The 15,989-nt window shown below is 42.8% G+C and overlaps 1 protein-coding gene across 7 annotated transcripts in view; it reads right to left on the reverse strand.

The window, feature by feature from the left end:
* Positions 1-15,989, reverse strand: part of PDE10A (phosphodiesterase 10A) — a 660,764-nt gene that overhangs the window by 305,132 nt on the left and 339,643 nt on the right. The gene's annotated exons all lie outside the window — the stretch shown is intronic.

A 15,989-nucleotide genomic window follows, 5' to 3' on the forward strand; every position in this document is an offset into this window, starting at 1 on the left:
GAGACCTTCTCTCTCCACTGAGAAGTTTCTTTAGGCTGTAATCTCTACCAACATCTTAGACTTCAGGGAATCATTGTGAAATGCACTGTTTTGAGCATGAGATGCCTGAAAAAGCAGAGCTATGCTCTGAATCCTACCAGGCAACAAGCAGCTGGGAGAACAGGACTTACTGCAATCCCTGCAGTTCAAAATAATCTAACAAAAAAAGAGACTATGACTTTGATCCACAAATTGGTAAATCTTGGTCAGCGAATTTCTGCCCCAATGATACAACCATGAGGGGTGAAGCGGCCGTGGAGAAACCAGATCACAACAGACCAGTCGAATCCAATACCTTTCATCACAAGTATGGGAATGAGTGTTCCTTTGGGCACATGAACTTCTCAGGGAACACCAGCTACAGGACATTTCCTACTGACATCTGTGGGAGATCATTTTGCCTATTAGAGCTGTATACCCAAGAATTACGCAGATTTGCCAAGATGGGATCCCAGTTCTAGCTGAAATTCACAAGGCGTCCCTCCCAATGGAGGGGGCATGATTAAAGCATCACCATCACCTGTGTATTTTTCAGCAACTCAATATGCTGGAAGAGATTCCTTCACAACTTCTGGAAATAGCATACCATACTTCTGAGAAGAAAGAAAAGTCACCGTGTCAAAAAAAAAAAAGAAAAGAAAAAAGAAAAAAAAGAAACAGCTTTTGATCTTGGTCTGATTGTAACTCTGCAGAATAGAGCAAATGCCTTTGGTTTAGACATCTATAAGATGTAGACTGACTTCTCTACATCAAAACCAAGACACTATGCAGCTTTACATTTTTAAATCTTCAAGGAGAGGCTTAAGGCATCAAGGAGAGATTCAAGAATCAATAATAAAGGGGCACAGGTTGGCACACCCATTCAGTTCATGTCCCTGAAATGTGGCTCAGAAGCGGCCACTTTAAGTGATCTCTAGTAAAGATATCCTATACATTAACTTTTCTTTACCTATACATTAACTTTTCTTTATAGCTACAGAAATTACAGAGTAGAAAAAAACTGTAAAACCCCCTCGGAAGGGAGAAAGAAGATGGAATAATTGAGGGGAAAAATGAAATCAAATAGCAAACATTTCAAAACCCAACATTTATGTCTTCAAAGGAAACAGGGAAAGGTCGTCTGGAGGAGTATTAGAGAACAGGAATAGTCTATAATACATTTTTATTTCATTTTATTATGTTTTTGAGACAGAGTCTCACTCAGGTCACCCAGGCTGGAGTGCGGTGGCACGATCTCAGCTCACTGCAACCTCTACCTCCCAGGTTCAAGCAATTCTCATGCCTCAGCCTCCCGAGCAGCTGGGACTACAGGTGTGCACCACCACGCCGGGCTAATTTTTTTTTTTTTCGTATTTTTATAGAGATGAGGTTTCACCATGTTGGCCAGGCTGGTCTTGAGAATAATTTTATTTTTAAAAAATTCCTATTTTTCCATAATAGATATTTTTGAAGTGATATATATAACCTGAATCCTTATAAATTCAAATGTAAACAGACTCATAGGGTCTGCTATTTAAGAAAGTCCTATCAGAAAAACAATTCTTTTTTTTCCAAAGTGTGTAATCTCCTGAGTGGTTCTGAAAGTCAAGAGTGCAACAGAATCACCTCGCGATGACTGACAAGCTGCGGGCCCCTCCCTCACGGCTTCTGTTTCAGTGCGTCTGGGGTAGGGCCCAGGAATTTGCGTTTTTAGTATAATTTCAGGCCATGTGCTTTGAGAATCAATGCCTCCGATCAGCGGATCTGCAGGGTTTGTGGAATGCATGTGTCTGCAGCGGTGCCCACTGAAGATCGTGTGTGTGTGTGTGGAGCGTCATGGGTTGTTGAGGAGTGTGCGGAGTGTATCTGTTGGTTTCTTGAGAGAACAGGGCACAGCTGGGAGAGTGAGCCTGGGCTTTCTAGGAGAAACCTCAAGCTGAACCTGAGTCCTGCAACTTTATTAGCTGTGTGGCTGGTTCCCCTTATGTAAAACAAAGGTAACACACTCAGGATTGTATTCGATACCAAATAAATGAAGATTACTTACCTCACCTTGTTCCAGAGAACATTTAAGAAAGTTTTCAAATATACACAAACTACAGCGAGACAAAGATAGCATGCATTAAACTGAAATGAAAAAGAAGAAAGCAAACAAGAGGTAGGGAAGTAAAACAGAAGCAGGAAAGGAGATAACACAAAACACACGCCACAAAAGTGACACACAGGCTACGGAGAAGCCATAAATTTGACTGTAAACTGACAAGGTGAAAATTTGAACTCGTAGTTTACAAAACTCAGTGCCCACAGAAAGAAAGTAACCACTTGTTCTGGAAAAACAGAACGGTACTCCTGGTACTAAGACAATGTGCACGTGCCCCAAGTGTCAGTCTTTCCTAACAAACTTTCTGTAGACACAATCTCATTCTGATGTCCCCAGAACCCATGCTTCACACTGGCTAGTTCCACATGGCATGGTCCAGGTGGCTCCATGGGTCCCTGGCCTGTGTTCATTTAAGCATTTATATAGCGACCATCGCTCTATGTTGCCTGGGAAGTGGTTGGACTACTACTCCTCCAGGTTGCCAATGAAATAAAGATCCATTTGCCTTAATCAATAATTAAGAGGGGAGGTAGAGGGGACATTCCTTTAGTAAATTGAGTGGGCAACTCACACTCCTAGTAGCAGTCACTTCACTAAGACTGAGAGGCAGCCTAAGGGCTTCCTTTAGGTAGGCGCAGTATTCTCCGTGGAAAAATGTTTGGAATCACTCTAATTGAGAGATGATCAGGCAAGTATGATCCCAAAATAAAATAGCATTAAAAGGTACGTGCCTAACATAGAGATTGGATTGATAAAAGGCATCAGAAAAGGTTAATATCTCCCAAAGGAATATTATTTGTTATTTCATTGGTGGGGGTAGTGGTTATTATTTTTCATTTTGTAAGACTGAATACCAGCACCAGTTTAGTCTTGGCACAGGCAAAATGTCAGAGATGGGGTTTGTCTTCATGGTGCAAGTCAAGTGGGGTGTGAGTGTGTGTGTGTGTGGGTGTGTGTGCATGCACGCGTGCACGACCATCACAGCGGATTTGGAATTACGCTATCCAAGCAAACAAGTGGGTACTTTAGAGTATATCTACTTTTAACTTATTCCAAAGAGATTTGTGGCAAATCTAAACATTTTCTTAGCTATGAATTCTATAAAATTTATTCAGAGGTTTCAAATAAGTACTTAAGACAGTTTCACGTACATACAAATCAATGAACAGACCTACACAAATCAATAGACTATCGTAAACACAGCGTGAACTTTGGTTTTAGTAACATACACCATTTGGGGCATACAAGAATAAAGGTACCTTTAATAACGATTAGAGAAAAATTATTAATAAAAAATAGAGGTAGACATATCTTGTTTGATAGAAACAGAAGATTCCATTCTCTTAATAGAAAAATATTATATACTGCACCATTACAGTAAGCTGCCTGTATGCAGTGTTTCAAAGAATAACATTTAAAATAACTGCAAATATCACAAGCTAAGTGTTATCATTATGTAAGCATTTTACTGTAATAGGAGCCATTCCCATGACCTCTGGGAAATCCCTTAGCTCTTGTTTTATTTTTATACCAATTTCAAATGCATAATTCTATCTGTAAACAGACATTTACATTTACATGGTTCCCCTCTTGTTTGCCTAGGACATATGATGCATATTATCAAAGGAATCCCCTACTTCCTATTCCTGGGTTAGGGTAAACCCTGGGAAGTAGACCTCAAGTGCTCACCTCAACACACTTTATCCCATTAGCAAACACACAGCTAGTTCACTGGCTATGTGAAAAGGAAATCCCTCCCATACACACACACACACACAAACACTCTTCAAAATAAAGTTACAATAATTTTCCTAGGAGCAAAATTGAAGTAGAAATATTGAAATATGACTTGCCAAGTTACATTTATGAAATGCATATTCTACTCATGTAGAATTTTGAGAATCAATCATTTAAAAGAAGAACTCCAATTTTATTACAATTTACAGCTTTTCAAAAAACCTTCACAAGGAAAAATGCAGGCAAAACCAGCCCTTACAGGAAACCTCACATTCCAGACGTTCCACAGGCTGAGGCCCCAACTGTATCCCCAAGAACAGCTGCTGTCTGTTCCCCTCCAGCTTCCCACCCTAAATGCAATACTTACGGTTCACAAAAGGACATTTGCCACGCAAGCTATTATTTTGCAAAAACTGGATAGACTGTTTATGCATCTGCCCGAACACATTTGTGAAGTACTAATTGGAGGTGCAGAAATGAGGCTCCTTTTGATGCCCTGTGTTTGCTTGTGTCAGGCATCTTTCCATCTGCTGTAGAAATGCTCTGCCTAGGTCCAGCCACCCCTCACCTCGGAAGGGCAAGTCACTTAACACCTCAAAGCCACTTTTAGTATCTGTAAAATAAAGGGATCTCAATAGCCTGCCTCTCTAACAAGACTGCCATGACCCACCTGAGACGATTCATGTGAAAATTGTCAGACTGTAAATGAAATCATCATGGAAATGAAAGAGCAGCTCATATGTATTCAGCCCACTGTCCTACACACCTATTATTTAATTAATTTAACCCTTTGGACTGCTTGATGAACAAGGGTACTATTATTTTCATCCCATGTTATAAATGAACTGAGGCAAAAAGGATAGTTATGCAATAAACTTCTCACAGACTATAAGAGATGGGACCAGGATTTGCAGCTAGCTAGGGTGACCCCAGGACCGATGCACTTAACCAGCTTGCTCAGTGGAACGGCAAAGAATCACAGATCAAGGCTGAAGCAATAAAAAACAATCAAAACAACCACCACCACCTATACCATACTAGGATGTGGCTTCCAGAATGTGGCCCTGATTCTGTCACCGCACACATGTCCTGCCAGAAAAGCCACTGCACCACCCAGGCCCTGCCTAGGTGTCCTTAACGTGCAAGGTTTGTACCTGACTGAATGACGGTGTCCAGCTTTATGGCGGACGGGTAACACACACAAGACTGCGGAAAATTTTTCACATTTGGCATGGAAAAAGAGAAAGACTACACATGCAGTCAAAATTCATTCCATACATTCTGGAGAACGTCCTGTGTGTCGGGCAGCATAACAGGGTCACAAAAACAAAACCCCACTTTGTTTCCAGGCATCATGTTAAGTGGCAAAAGGTTCTGCGTCAATAGTGCAAGCTTCTTCTCATCCAAGGATCGGAAAAAGAAAGGCAAGGACAGGGGTCATCGACCCAGGACCCAAGTTTCCCCGGCACAGGCGGGGCGCGTCCTCCCAGATTTGTACTCAAGACTTTACGGAGCTATCACGGAATTCTCTGTGGAATGATATTTACAATAAGGGCAGAACGCCAAAGCAGAAGGCAAAATCTGGCTTGATTTTCCCCAGAGCCAAAAGATAATTTCTCAAAATATGCCTTGTCTTTATCTCTTGAAATGAGAAAACGCTTTGTAGCCTTCATTCACCACAATCCCATCTCCCATAGGTTTTTATTCCATTTCCCATCTCCTCCTTTCCTCCAGCCAGCCCTCGCCTGCCGTTAGCAGATGTTGTCAGTAACATCTCTTTTTAAATGGGTCAGAAATTCTCTGTGCTGGGTGAAAGAGGCCAACTCAACATGGTATCTAATCAGATTCAAAGATTATGCCTTTGTGAAATGCCTCATTGGAAAGCCTCTTACTTCCCACCACCCTCCCCCCACCAAAAAAGAAAAGAAAAAGTATTTTAACCCTTTCTGTTTGGCGATGATTCTACTATGCAACACATTCACCTTCCTTTTTATTTTCACTTTATACTTCAGATAACTTTTAAAGCACAGTAAGAGTCAAAACTAAACGCAAATAAAAGCCAACTACAAATGGAGTTAACAAAGAGGAAGGACGAGAAGGAAGGCAAGAGACAGAGAGAGAGGGTGGAAGGAGTCGTTTTATATCAAAGCAAATATAGCTTTAAAATAAAAATGATTTAATTTTCTTATACCAATTCTTGCCATTGTGTTGTGTTCTGAAAGGACGCATGTAATACACATTCCTGTCTTCAGACCATCTAATTTGCACTGGTTTTTGAGCTAGAACATTCAAACTTTATATTTTATATTGCCACATCACTACACAGATAAATGCAAAGAAAATAAAATTTTAAAAAAGGATATACTATGAAATCTTAAACTTCATCATTAAAATATATACTAACCAAAACTGGTAAAAGTTAAGTTCGTCATCCCAAGGTTAAGTCGCCCACACAACACCCACATTGCATAATAAGCTATGTATTTAGTTGCCTACCTAGCAATCTAAAATAGATTATTCAAACAACAATAGAAAGTTAACTACTATACTAAGGGAAAACTAGAGTCTTTAAGAACCTAGAACACACAATTACCACTCAAACATTATATAACAATAAGGCTTATTAACATTTACATTCTGTGTCCTCCAGATTTTGTAATGACGCCCTAACAATGCTGATTTTTATAGTCTACAAAGTACCTTCACATTCATTATTTCATCTTTATCCTGACCAAATGGGAGGGAAGAAGGAAGGGAGGGAAGGAAGGAGGGAGGGAGGGAGGGAGACAGAGAGAGAGAGAGAGGAAGGCAGGAAGGAAGGAAAGCAGGCAGGCGGCAGGAAGGAAGGAAGCTAGCTGGCTGTGTGATAGTAAAATTACCACCATTTTACAGATTAGGGAGACATTCAAAAGTTAAACAATTTGCCTAGGAGTCCACAACCAATGTATGGAGGAACCAAATTCAAACTAGTCAATATTCAAACTCCAGTCAATTGACTGCAAGCGTCACATTCATTACATCACACCCAGAAACCTTGTTTTTCAGCTTTCTGTTGAGACTTTTCATCCTTCCCTTCATTTGCACAATTTAAAACTCAGAGATTAGTTTTATTTTTAAAGAAAGCCATACCTATTATAATTCTCAACTGCAAAAAAAATCAAGATAAAAAATGAAGAGAGGGCAGGATGCAGTGGCTCACACCTGTAATCCCAGCACTTTGGGAGGCTGAGGCATGTGGATCACCTGAGGTCAGGAGTTCAAGACCAGCCTGGCCAACATGGCAAAATCCCATCTCTACTAAAAATACAAAAAATCAGCCAGGCATGGTGATGGATGCCTGTAATCCCAGCTACTTGGGAGGCTGAAGCAAGAGAATTCCTTGAACATGAGTGGTAGAGGTTACAAGGAGCCGAGGTTGCACCATTGCACTCCAGCCTAGGCAACAGAGCAAGACTCTGTCCCAAAAAAAAAAAAAAAAAAAAGAGAGAGAGACATAAAAATCAATCTATGGCCAGGTGGAGTGGCTCACGCCTGTAATCCCAACACTTTGGGAGGCCAAGGAGGGAGGACTGCTTGAGCCCAGGAGTTCTTGACCAGTCTGGGCAACATAGGGAGACCTTGTCTTCTATAGAGAATTTTAAAAATGAGCCAGGTGTGGTGGTGCACACCTGTGGTCCCGACGACTCAGGAGGCTCAGGCAGGATGATCACCTGAGCCCAGGAGGTTGAGGCTGCAGTGAGCTGTGATCGCACCACTGCACTCAAGCCTGGGCCATGGAGCAAGATTCTGTCACCAGAAAAAAAAAAAAAAATCTATACAACCTTGAATCGACTAAAGGTCTTTAAGTTGCATGCATGTAACTCTTTCCCATTAGGGTATAGGAAATGCAGACTTAATTAATGTGAAATTTTTAACTGCTGAAAGGCTTTCAAAACATAAAGATTCTAATGGTTTCTATTTACCAGTGTTTTAAAAATTTTTTAAAAATTGCCTGCCTTTCTGTTTCTGTTTACTTATTAGATACATATTAAAATTTTTTTTACCATTTTCAAATCACCTATCACAATACATTATTTATTCAGCAAACAGGTATATTAAACAAGTATATTCTTGGTCTGCAAAGTTTAAAAGTAAAAATTTCATGTTACTTTATCAGCAAGATTACAAAATTTAAATAAGCTTACTCAGGTAACTCCAAAATGGGAAAGAAAACAGTTAACATTTTGGCTCAAAGAAAATGAACATAAAAATTAAGAAGAGCTCTTATGTAATAACCTGTTATTCACACACTGTTACAGACCATTAGCCATTAATAAGTGCTGCAGTGTTCCTCTACCTCTTCCCTTCTAAACCTTCCTGTTCAGAAACGCGGAAACCACAACATATTCCTATCTGGATGTCAAGTGATTTCAAATGAAGTCTGATAAACTAAGCGATGTTGTTGCTAGAAGATACAAATTTAAATAAAACACAGATTATGTAAACAGTAGTTTATAAATTTGTTTATAAAATTACTTATGAAAATGGTTTACATAATTGGCCAAGAATAATATAACTCATCTATTAATAAGAAGTATGATAATTTTGCATTGGCTGTTACTTTGTCCTCAGCCAGCACCTACCAGGAAATATTCAGAATAGTTGCACACAGAACAAATATCACTTGTCTGATGTCACTATATAGTGTCCATGCAGTCAGAAGAGGTGTCTTAAATCGGTGACCTCAGCACTTGGCCGTGGCCAGCCCTTCAGCTCCTTCCCATCTTCAAGGCAAGCTGATCACAGCAACATGGCTGTCTGCTTCACCTGACCACAGAAGAGGGATGGACCCAAGAGACTGAATAGAGGAGGATGGCCAGGCTTTCTGAGCAGACACGTGGGGGCCAGTAAGGGGTGACTGACGCCCAGAGGTCAACAAAGAAAAAAAAATGTTAAAAGTCATAAGAAAGGTTTTTTTAAATCTTTTATTTATCTTTAGAAAGACAAATAAAAATACCTAGAAATATGAGGTAGTTAACTAATTATAGCAGCAAACAGAACTGTAAACCTCAAGAGTCCTTTAAAATACATTTCTCTACTATAAAACAATAATAACTGATGCTCATAAAAAGGTAAAATATCAGATGCACAACACTATATCTAAGAAGAGAAGGCATCACACATGTTTTAAAGGTTGATGTCTGAACTAACTGAAATCACTAAAAACAGGTGCTTTAAAAGTTACACTTCAGTAATCTGGCAAATGCTTCCCCAGCAATGCTGGCTCTCAGAGGCAGAGGTGGTGCCTCACCCATGATAACCCACAGTCAGAGCGGGCACTGGCCACTCAGCTAATATTGGCAAATATTATTTAGAGTGCCTTGGGGGCAGGCCCTCCACTGAGACCCTGAGCACAGCTAAGGCAAAGCAGCCTGGCTCCTCCCTCACTGCACCCACCGTGTGGTGATTCAAGTCTGTTCCTAGATGCCCTAGATGTTCCTGAGCCTCACTTTGCTTAGGATTCCTCTTCGGACTGTTATGAGAACCAAGGAAGATGAGGAATAGAAAGCAATCTTTGAAACAGAACACGGTCCCGTCTCTGGCAAGCGGTGTTTCGGTTCATCTCAACTCTCCAGCCACCCTGTACCTCCCACGGCAGCCCCGCAGCCTCTGTCCTGCAGGCCACCAGCTGGAGTGGCAGAGGCGTGGCTGGTAGGAATCTGGTTTCCTTTGACGCCCATTCGGGGCGTGGAATCATGAACGTGTGTGTGTGTGTGATGTGCTCATTTCATCGGGGGTGTAACTTACTGCTTTGACTCTGGGAAGGTGGAATACCATGATTCTGGAAAGCCACGCCTGCAGTTAAAGATGTCTCCTACCCTTCAGGTCTCTGCACAAGCTGCCCCTCCGCCAGAAACACCTGCTCTCCCACAGCCCCACATCCATAGGGGCTAACACAGTCTTTTCCTTCTCCTCTGTCTCTTCCTTGGGGAGATGTCCCTAGATGCCCCGGATGAATGTGGCTTCCCGTGCATATGTGTCTAGCATGATACGTTTGTTCAGGTCGGCCTTGGCCACGAGGCACAGGCTCCCTGAGGTCATGGACGTCCATCTGTGCACCACCCTATCGACACATAGGAGGCACTCAACAAAGGACTCAGGCTGTATTTAGGAGGGACACAGCCACATTAACGTGGAATTAAAATAAAGAAAATATAATCAATTGCAGAGATTTTAGAGGGGTAGTGCTCTGCAAAGCACTGAGGTGTATATAGCCCCACATAATCATTCTGGTTACAACAGTGGTACGGACTGGTTGGAAGTTGAAAGACTAGCCCCTGGAATCCTCTCTGATCTTGCTGAGGAGACTTGTAAGACAGATCTCAAGTAAAACCATTTGTAGTCCTTATGCCTGTTGGCTGTACCAGTCCGGCCTTTATGCTTTCAGACACTCTCAGGTGGGTGAACGCTACACAGCCTAGGTAATTCGCTCACATCCAGCCTGTTAATTCAGCTCTAAAGAGCCCTTTGCATTCACTCGCTCTCTTGCGGCATACCTGCCAAAGAACGTGCGTCCCATCACACATTTTTAAGTTGCCATATAAAAATTGTATCACAAGTTTAAATAGTTGTGAATGATGTATGTTCTCACATTTTTTTTTTTACGGCAAATATGCCTCATACATATTTTTGTCAAAACCTGGAGCTGAGGAATAGTTCACTCAGTCCATGGACCCTGTCCACCAAACAACCTTCCTGGAAAGCCATTCTCCAGTGGCAAGTCAAATAGCTCAATCAGACCTAATTTCTGTCTGAAAAGGTTATTTTATAATTTAAATACATCATCTAACTTGCATCCCTGTAACAATTTCTCATTTCTGAATTATAGTTCTAAGATAGATGGGAGGACGGATGGTGGGTAGATGTATGGGTGGATGCATAGGTAGGTGGGTGGATGGATAGATAGGTGAGTGAGTGGGTGGGTGGGTGGATGGATGGATGGATGGATGGAGAGACGAGCAGACAGACAGATGAACGGATGGGTGTACAGATGTATGGACAGATGAGTATGTGGATGGAGCCTTGCCATGGGTTTGCTGACTTAGTGAAATAAAGAGTCTCCCACATTCACAGATGCTCTCCTTAGTTTGTTCTCCCCAAACTCTGCCCTAGGAACAGAGCCTTTTCAGATTGTCCCATCGTTTAGTACCCCAGAGATTTTTACATGCTGGGGCAATGAGCCATAGTAAGGCTCTGAAGAAGAAAGGGCTATCCCTTTCTTCTTTTGGAAATCGGAGAAAGTCAGTCGTGAAAACAGATAAGTGAAATAAGCCAGGCACAGAAAGACAAATACTGAATGACCTCGCTTATATTTGGAACTTTTAAAAGAATTCATTGAAGTAGAGAACAGAACGGTGGTCACCAGAGGCTGGGACAGGCAGGGATGGGGAAAAGAAAGATCTTGGTCAAAGCATACAGTTTCCATCAGACAGGAGGAATAAGCTTTAGCTATCCATTGCACAGCATGGTTACCATGGTTAATAATGACATCTTATACATTTAGAAATTGTTAGAAGAATAGATTTTTACATGTTCAAAAAACAATGATAAGTGGGTTAAGTGATAGATATGTTAATTCACCTGATTTAATCATTCCACAATGTATGCATACATCAAAGAATCACACTGTACTTCATAAACATATGCCATTACTAGTCAATTAAAAAATATATTTTTAAAAGAAAGCTGAAAAGTACGACTGGCAGACCTGTTGTCAGGTAGACATCCTCAGAAAAATTCATTTTTTTTCTGTTTTTTGAGACAGAGTCTCCCTCTGTCGCCCAGGCTGGAGTGCAGTGGCGTGATCTTGGCTCACTGCAAGCTCCGCCTCCCGGGTTCATGCCATTGTCCTGCCTCAGCCTCCTGGGCAGCTGGGACTACAGGCGCCCGCCACCACGCCCCGCTAATTTTTTTTTGTATTTTTAGTAGAGAACGGGGTTTCACCGTGTGTTAGCCAGGATGGTCTCGATCTCCTGACCTCGTGATCTGCCGGCCTCGGCCTCCCAAAGTGCTGGGATTACAGGCATGAGCCACCATGCCCGGCCAGAAAAGTTCATTTTTAAGAGTCTCCGTGAAGATTTCTTTAAGTGATCTTTGCCCATGCATCCTCTTGGAAGTGGGTGTGCCCATAGGAAGCAGCCTGGGAGAAACCACCAGCACCTTTCTTCACATGTACAATGCCCAGAGGTAAGGGCAACAGGCAGGAATTGTGGAAGTACCTGTCACCCAGGGAAGGTGAAGGGAGACGCCAAATGTGTAGGATCTCTTGAAATTCCAATTCTTGATCACCCGTCTTCTAACTGGCACTCACAACATATACGTATATTGAAACATCACACTGCATGTACTTCATCAACACAGGCACCTAAACACAGCGTATTCTATGAAAACCCCCGTATGAAATGACTGTCTTAGAACAGGGGTAGCCTTCCCCTGTGGAAGGCCAGATGGCACGTGTTTCAGACTTTGTCAGCCCTGCTGTCTCCCTGGCACTTGCCCACTTCTGCCACTGCAGCTCAGAAGCATGGACGGTCATGAGCAAGGCCAGGGCAAGCGTGATTGTCTGGATTTACGTTGATCTCCAGGAAATCTGGGAACTTTAAAAATTAATGAGTGCTTTTTAAAAAATCATACACCTCAGACTTGGAAAGTAGAATAAAGAACATAAACGTCACCCTAATTGTGTTAGTAGCAGAAGCCTCTGGCGCTTGGTACCACATCCTCTCAGCCTGCTTCTGGTTTCTGCCACAGCAGTGGTGGCCTGTGCCTAGTGAGGTCAGTCTCTCCTGAAGTGGTGGATCCTACTTCAGGCGCACATCTGAGCCTTGCTGCTTTCATCCAGCACCCCTGCCAGGGCCAGGAGAGCCCACTCGATTTCCAAAAGAAGCATCTGGGAGTGCACAGCGAGGGTGCGGCTGCCTTCTGTCCTCCTGAGCGGGGGCCTGCTGGAACCAGTAACTCGCCTTTTACTGGCTCTCCCTTCTTGCCCCTGACCCCTTGCTTCACTCCCTACTCCTGCCTGCTGCAGTCACCTCTCAAATGAACCACCTGTCCTTATCTCAGGCTCTGTGGGCAAGGAAACCCAAATAGAAAACTGGAGTTCACAGACGTCTTTCTTCAAGGGAAACTGAGTACTTCAGAGAACCAGTGGAATCAGAAGTAAGTCCTTAGGGTGAGTTTACAGACACGCAAGCACATTAAATCTGGCAAAACCTACACAGTTGTTGACTGAGATCTCCTGAAAAGTTTACTTCCTGGCTGGGCGCGGTGTCTCACGCCTGTAATCCCAGCACTTTGGGAGGCTGAGGTGGGCAGATTACCTGAGGTGAGGAGTTCGAGACCAGCCTGACCAATATGGTGAAACCCTATCTCTACTAAAAATACAAAAATTAGCTGGGTTTGGTGGTGTGCACCTGTAATCCCAGCTACTAGGGAGGCTGAGACAGGAGAATTGCTTGAACCTGGGAGGCAGAGGTTGCAGTGAGCTAAGATCATGCCACTGTACTCTAGCCTGGGCAGCAGAGCAAGACTCCATCTCAAAAAAAAAAAAAAAAGTTTACTTCCTTTAGCCAACTACTAATATCCACCAAAACAACTGCTAAATTTGACTACAAATAGTTTCACATATTCCTCCACTTGAGGACAATGCCCTTATATAAGGTAGGAAACAAGTATAAAGGGAGGCAAAATAACCCAGCAAGACAAACAGCAGGTCAAATCCTAAAATAGGAGCATGCTTGAGCCTTCTCAGGAAAATGGGCCAGCCTGGCACAGACCAGGGAACAGTTCCACGGCAGCATCAGGAACGCGAGGGCAAAGGCCTCACTGCAGCTCTGTCCCCACCCCGGAGTGCAAGGACGTTCATTTATAGACCTTGTCATGAAGTCACAGCCTCTTTTAAAAATCAAAAGCAACATTTGAAGGATTTCTGGAAACGGCTCTCCATTTTCTTGTCTCTTTTTATGTTGAAAACCTAGGTGGAGCCTATCATACTTGAAATCAAAACTGATTATAAATATGTAAGGTGGGCAATTCAAGAAAATTCCAAAGTATTATGACCTAAAACAAGCCTGCAATTTCTTCTGTGCAGGAAAAAGTATTTAATGAACTATTCAATAAACTGACATTTGTTGAACATCCATTTTACAGATGAGAAAATTAGAGTGCTGAGAAATTACACAGAGCTGAGATTTGAGACCAAGTCTTGCTCCAAAATACACGTCTCCAAGTGTCCCACACTGCTTCTCATGACCCCTTCATTCAGCACGCGCTCAGTGATTCCTGCAGGGCACTGCTAGTCATCTGAGATGGACAGCAGAACTCAAGCTTATGATGTCGAGGAAAGACAGGCGAGCAGGAGTCAACAGCGGCATCGCCACCCACCTGCTCCCCTGCTGCTCCAAACACAGTTCCGGGATGAGAAGGAGCACCTGGCCACAGCTGCACAATGGACGCCTGCCTGGAAGGTCTTTGAATGTTTATGAAATATGACCTACTGAGAGACAGAAGCCAACCATTTTTGAGAAGTACACATGCCCATCCGACAGTATTAAACAATTCCAGATATATCGTAACATATAAAAGTGTAATTCCTCAAATTATTTGCAGAATTTTTAATTAAAATTAGATAAAGCCTTGATAGCTTTGTTTCAGATAAAGGCAAACCAGACGTAGAGGCTGTGTAAAGGCATTTGACACACAGCACTCTCAAAATGTACCCATAAGGAGATCATTGCTCATGATGGGCACATTCTCACCTTTCTTCAAGTTAGAGTAAATTAAATTACAAAAGAAAACTGTGATGCATGTACAGGACTAAGTCCACACACAGAGTTAAGAATACAGACCAACAATCTACAAAAGTCTAGAGTAAACAACCAGTCACAGAGGGAAACCATACAAAGCAAATATAAGCTACAGTGTCCATGGCAGAGAGGGATGGTGTCCTGGACAGGCTCCAGGCTCACCTAAGGCCACTCTGCCCCCGGAGCTGCCAGCGGCAGGGCCTTCCCACTCAACCCCAGCAGCAGGAGACCCAACAGCATCGTTCTGCTTTTAGACAGGACCGAGTGAAGGCGAAACGCTCAGAGACAGGAGAGGGCAGAGGTGAATTCTTTTGGAGGTGCAGAAGTCCCATAAATGGGGAATGGGACTACAATAGCCTTTCAAAAAATAGCTTCCCCTAAATGGAAGAAGCATTCTAATGACAATCCCCTTTTTTTTTTTAGTTCTTTTTCCAAAAATTCTTCCCTTTTATTTGCAACACATTTTCCTTTAATTTCTTGCCAAGAAAGTGGAATTGCTTGCGGACTCCAGCCATTTCCTGATATCAGCGTTTCCAGAAGCTGAACTTCCTGCAACTACAAAGAAACACCTTTCCCAGCCAAATGGATGCTCTCAGCAGCCTTTCTCTTCCTTTCCCGACTGAAGCCCCTTTGGACGTCACTTGCAGAGACTGCCTTTTCGGAAAAGACTGTCTCAGAACCCAAGGAAACAATGGCTACGTGTCTCAGCACTTGCTCTCCTGAAGGCACTATTGCAAACACTTGCTATATATTATCTCATTTAATCTTCACCACAATCTTAACGACTGTAGCAAAAGAAACAACTACAACGCAGGGGCTCGTAATTAAGCACTCTAGGTTACAGTGCCTCCTTGGTGTTTGTTTAACAAATACAGGCACACACACATTTGTTTTTCTTTTTTCTTTTTTTTGAGACGGAGTCTCGCTCTGTCGCCCAGGCTGGAGTGCAGTGTGCAATCTTGGCTCACTGCAAGCTCCACCTCTCGGGTTCACGCCATTCTCCTGCCTCAGCCTCCCGAGTAGCTGGGACTATAGGCGCCCACCACCACGCCCAGCTAATTTTTTGTATTTTTAGTAGAGACGGGGTTTCACCATATTAGCCAGGATGGTCTCGATCTCCTGACCTCGTGATCCACCCACCTCGGCCTCCCAAAGTGCTGGGATTACAGGGGTGACCCACCACGCCCGGCCTTACATATGCATTTCTTAACACATCAGACCATCCACTGTTTCTTACTGAGAAGTCATAAAGCACAAGAAAATTACTGACACAGGCCAGCAGGATATCG

The sequence above is a fragment of the Homo sapiens genome, chromosome 6, assembly GCF_000001405.40.
Source record: "Homo sapiens chromosome 6, GRCh38.p14 Primary Assembly".
Taxonomy (NCBI): Eukaryota; Metazoa; Chordata; class Mammalia; order Primates; family Hominidae; genus Homo; species Homo sapiens.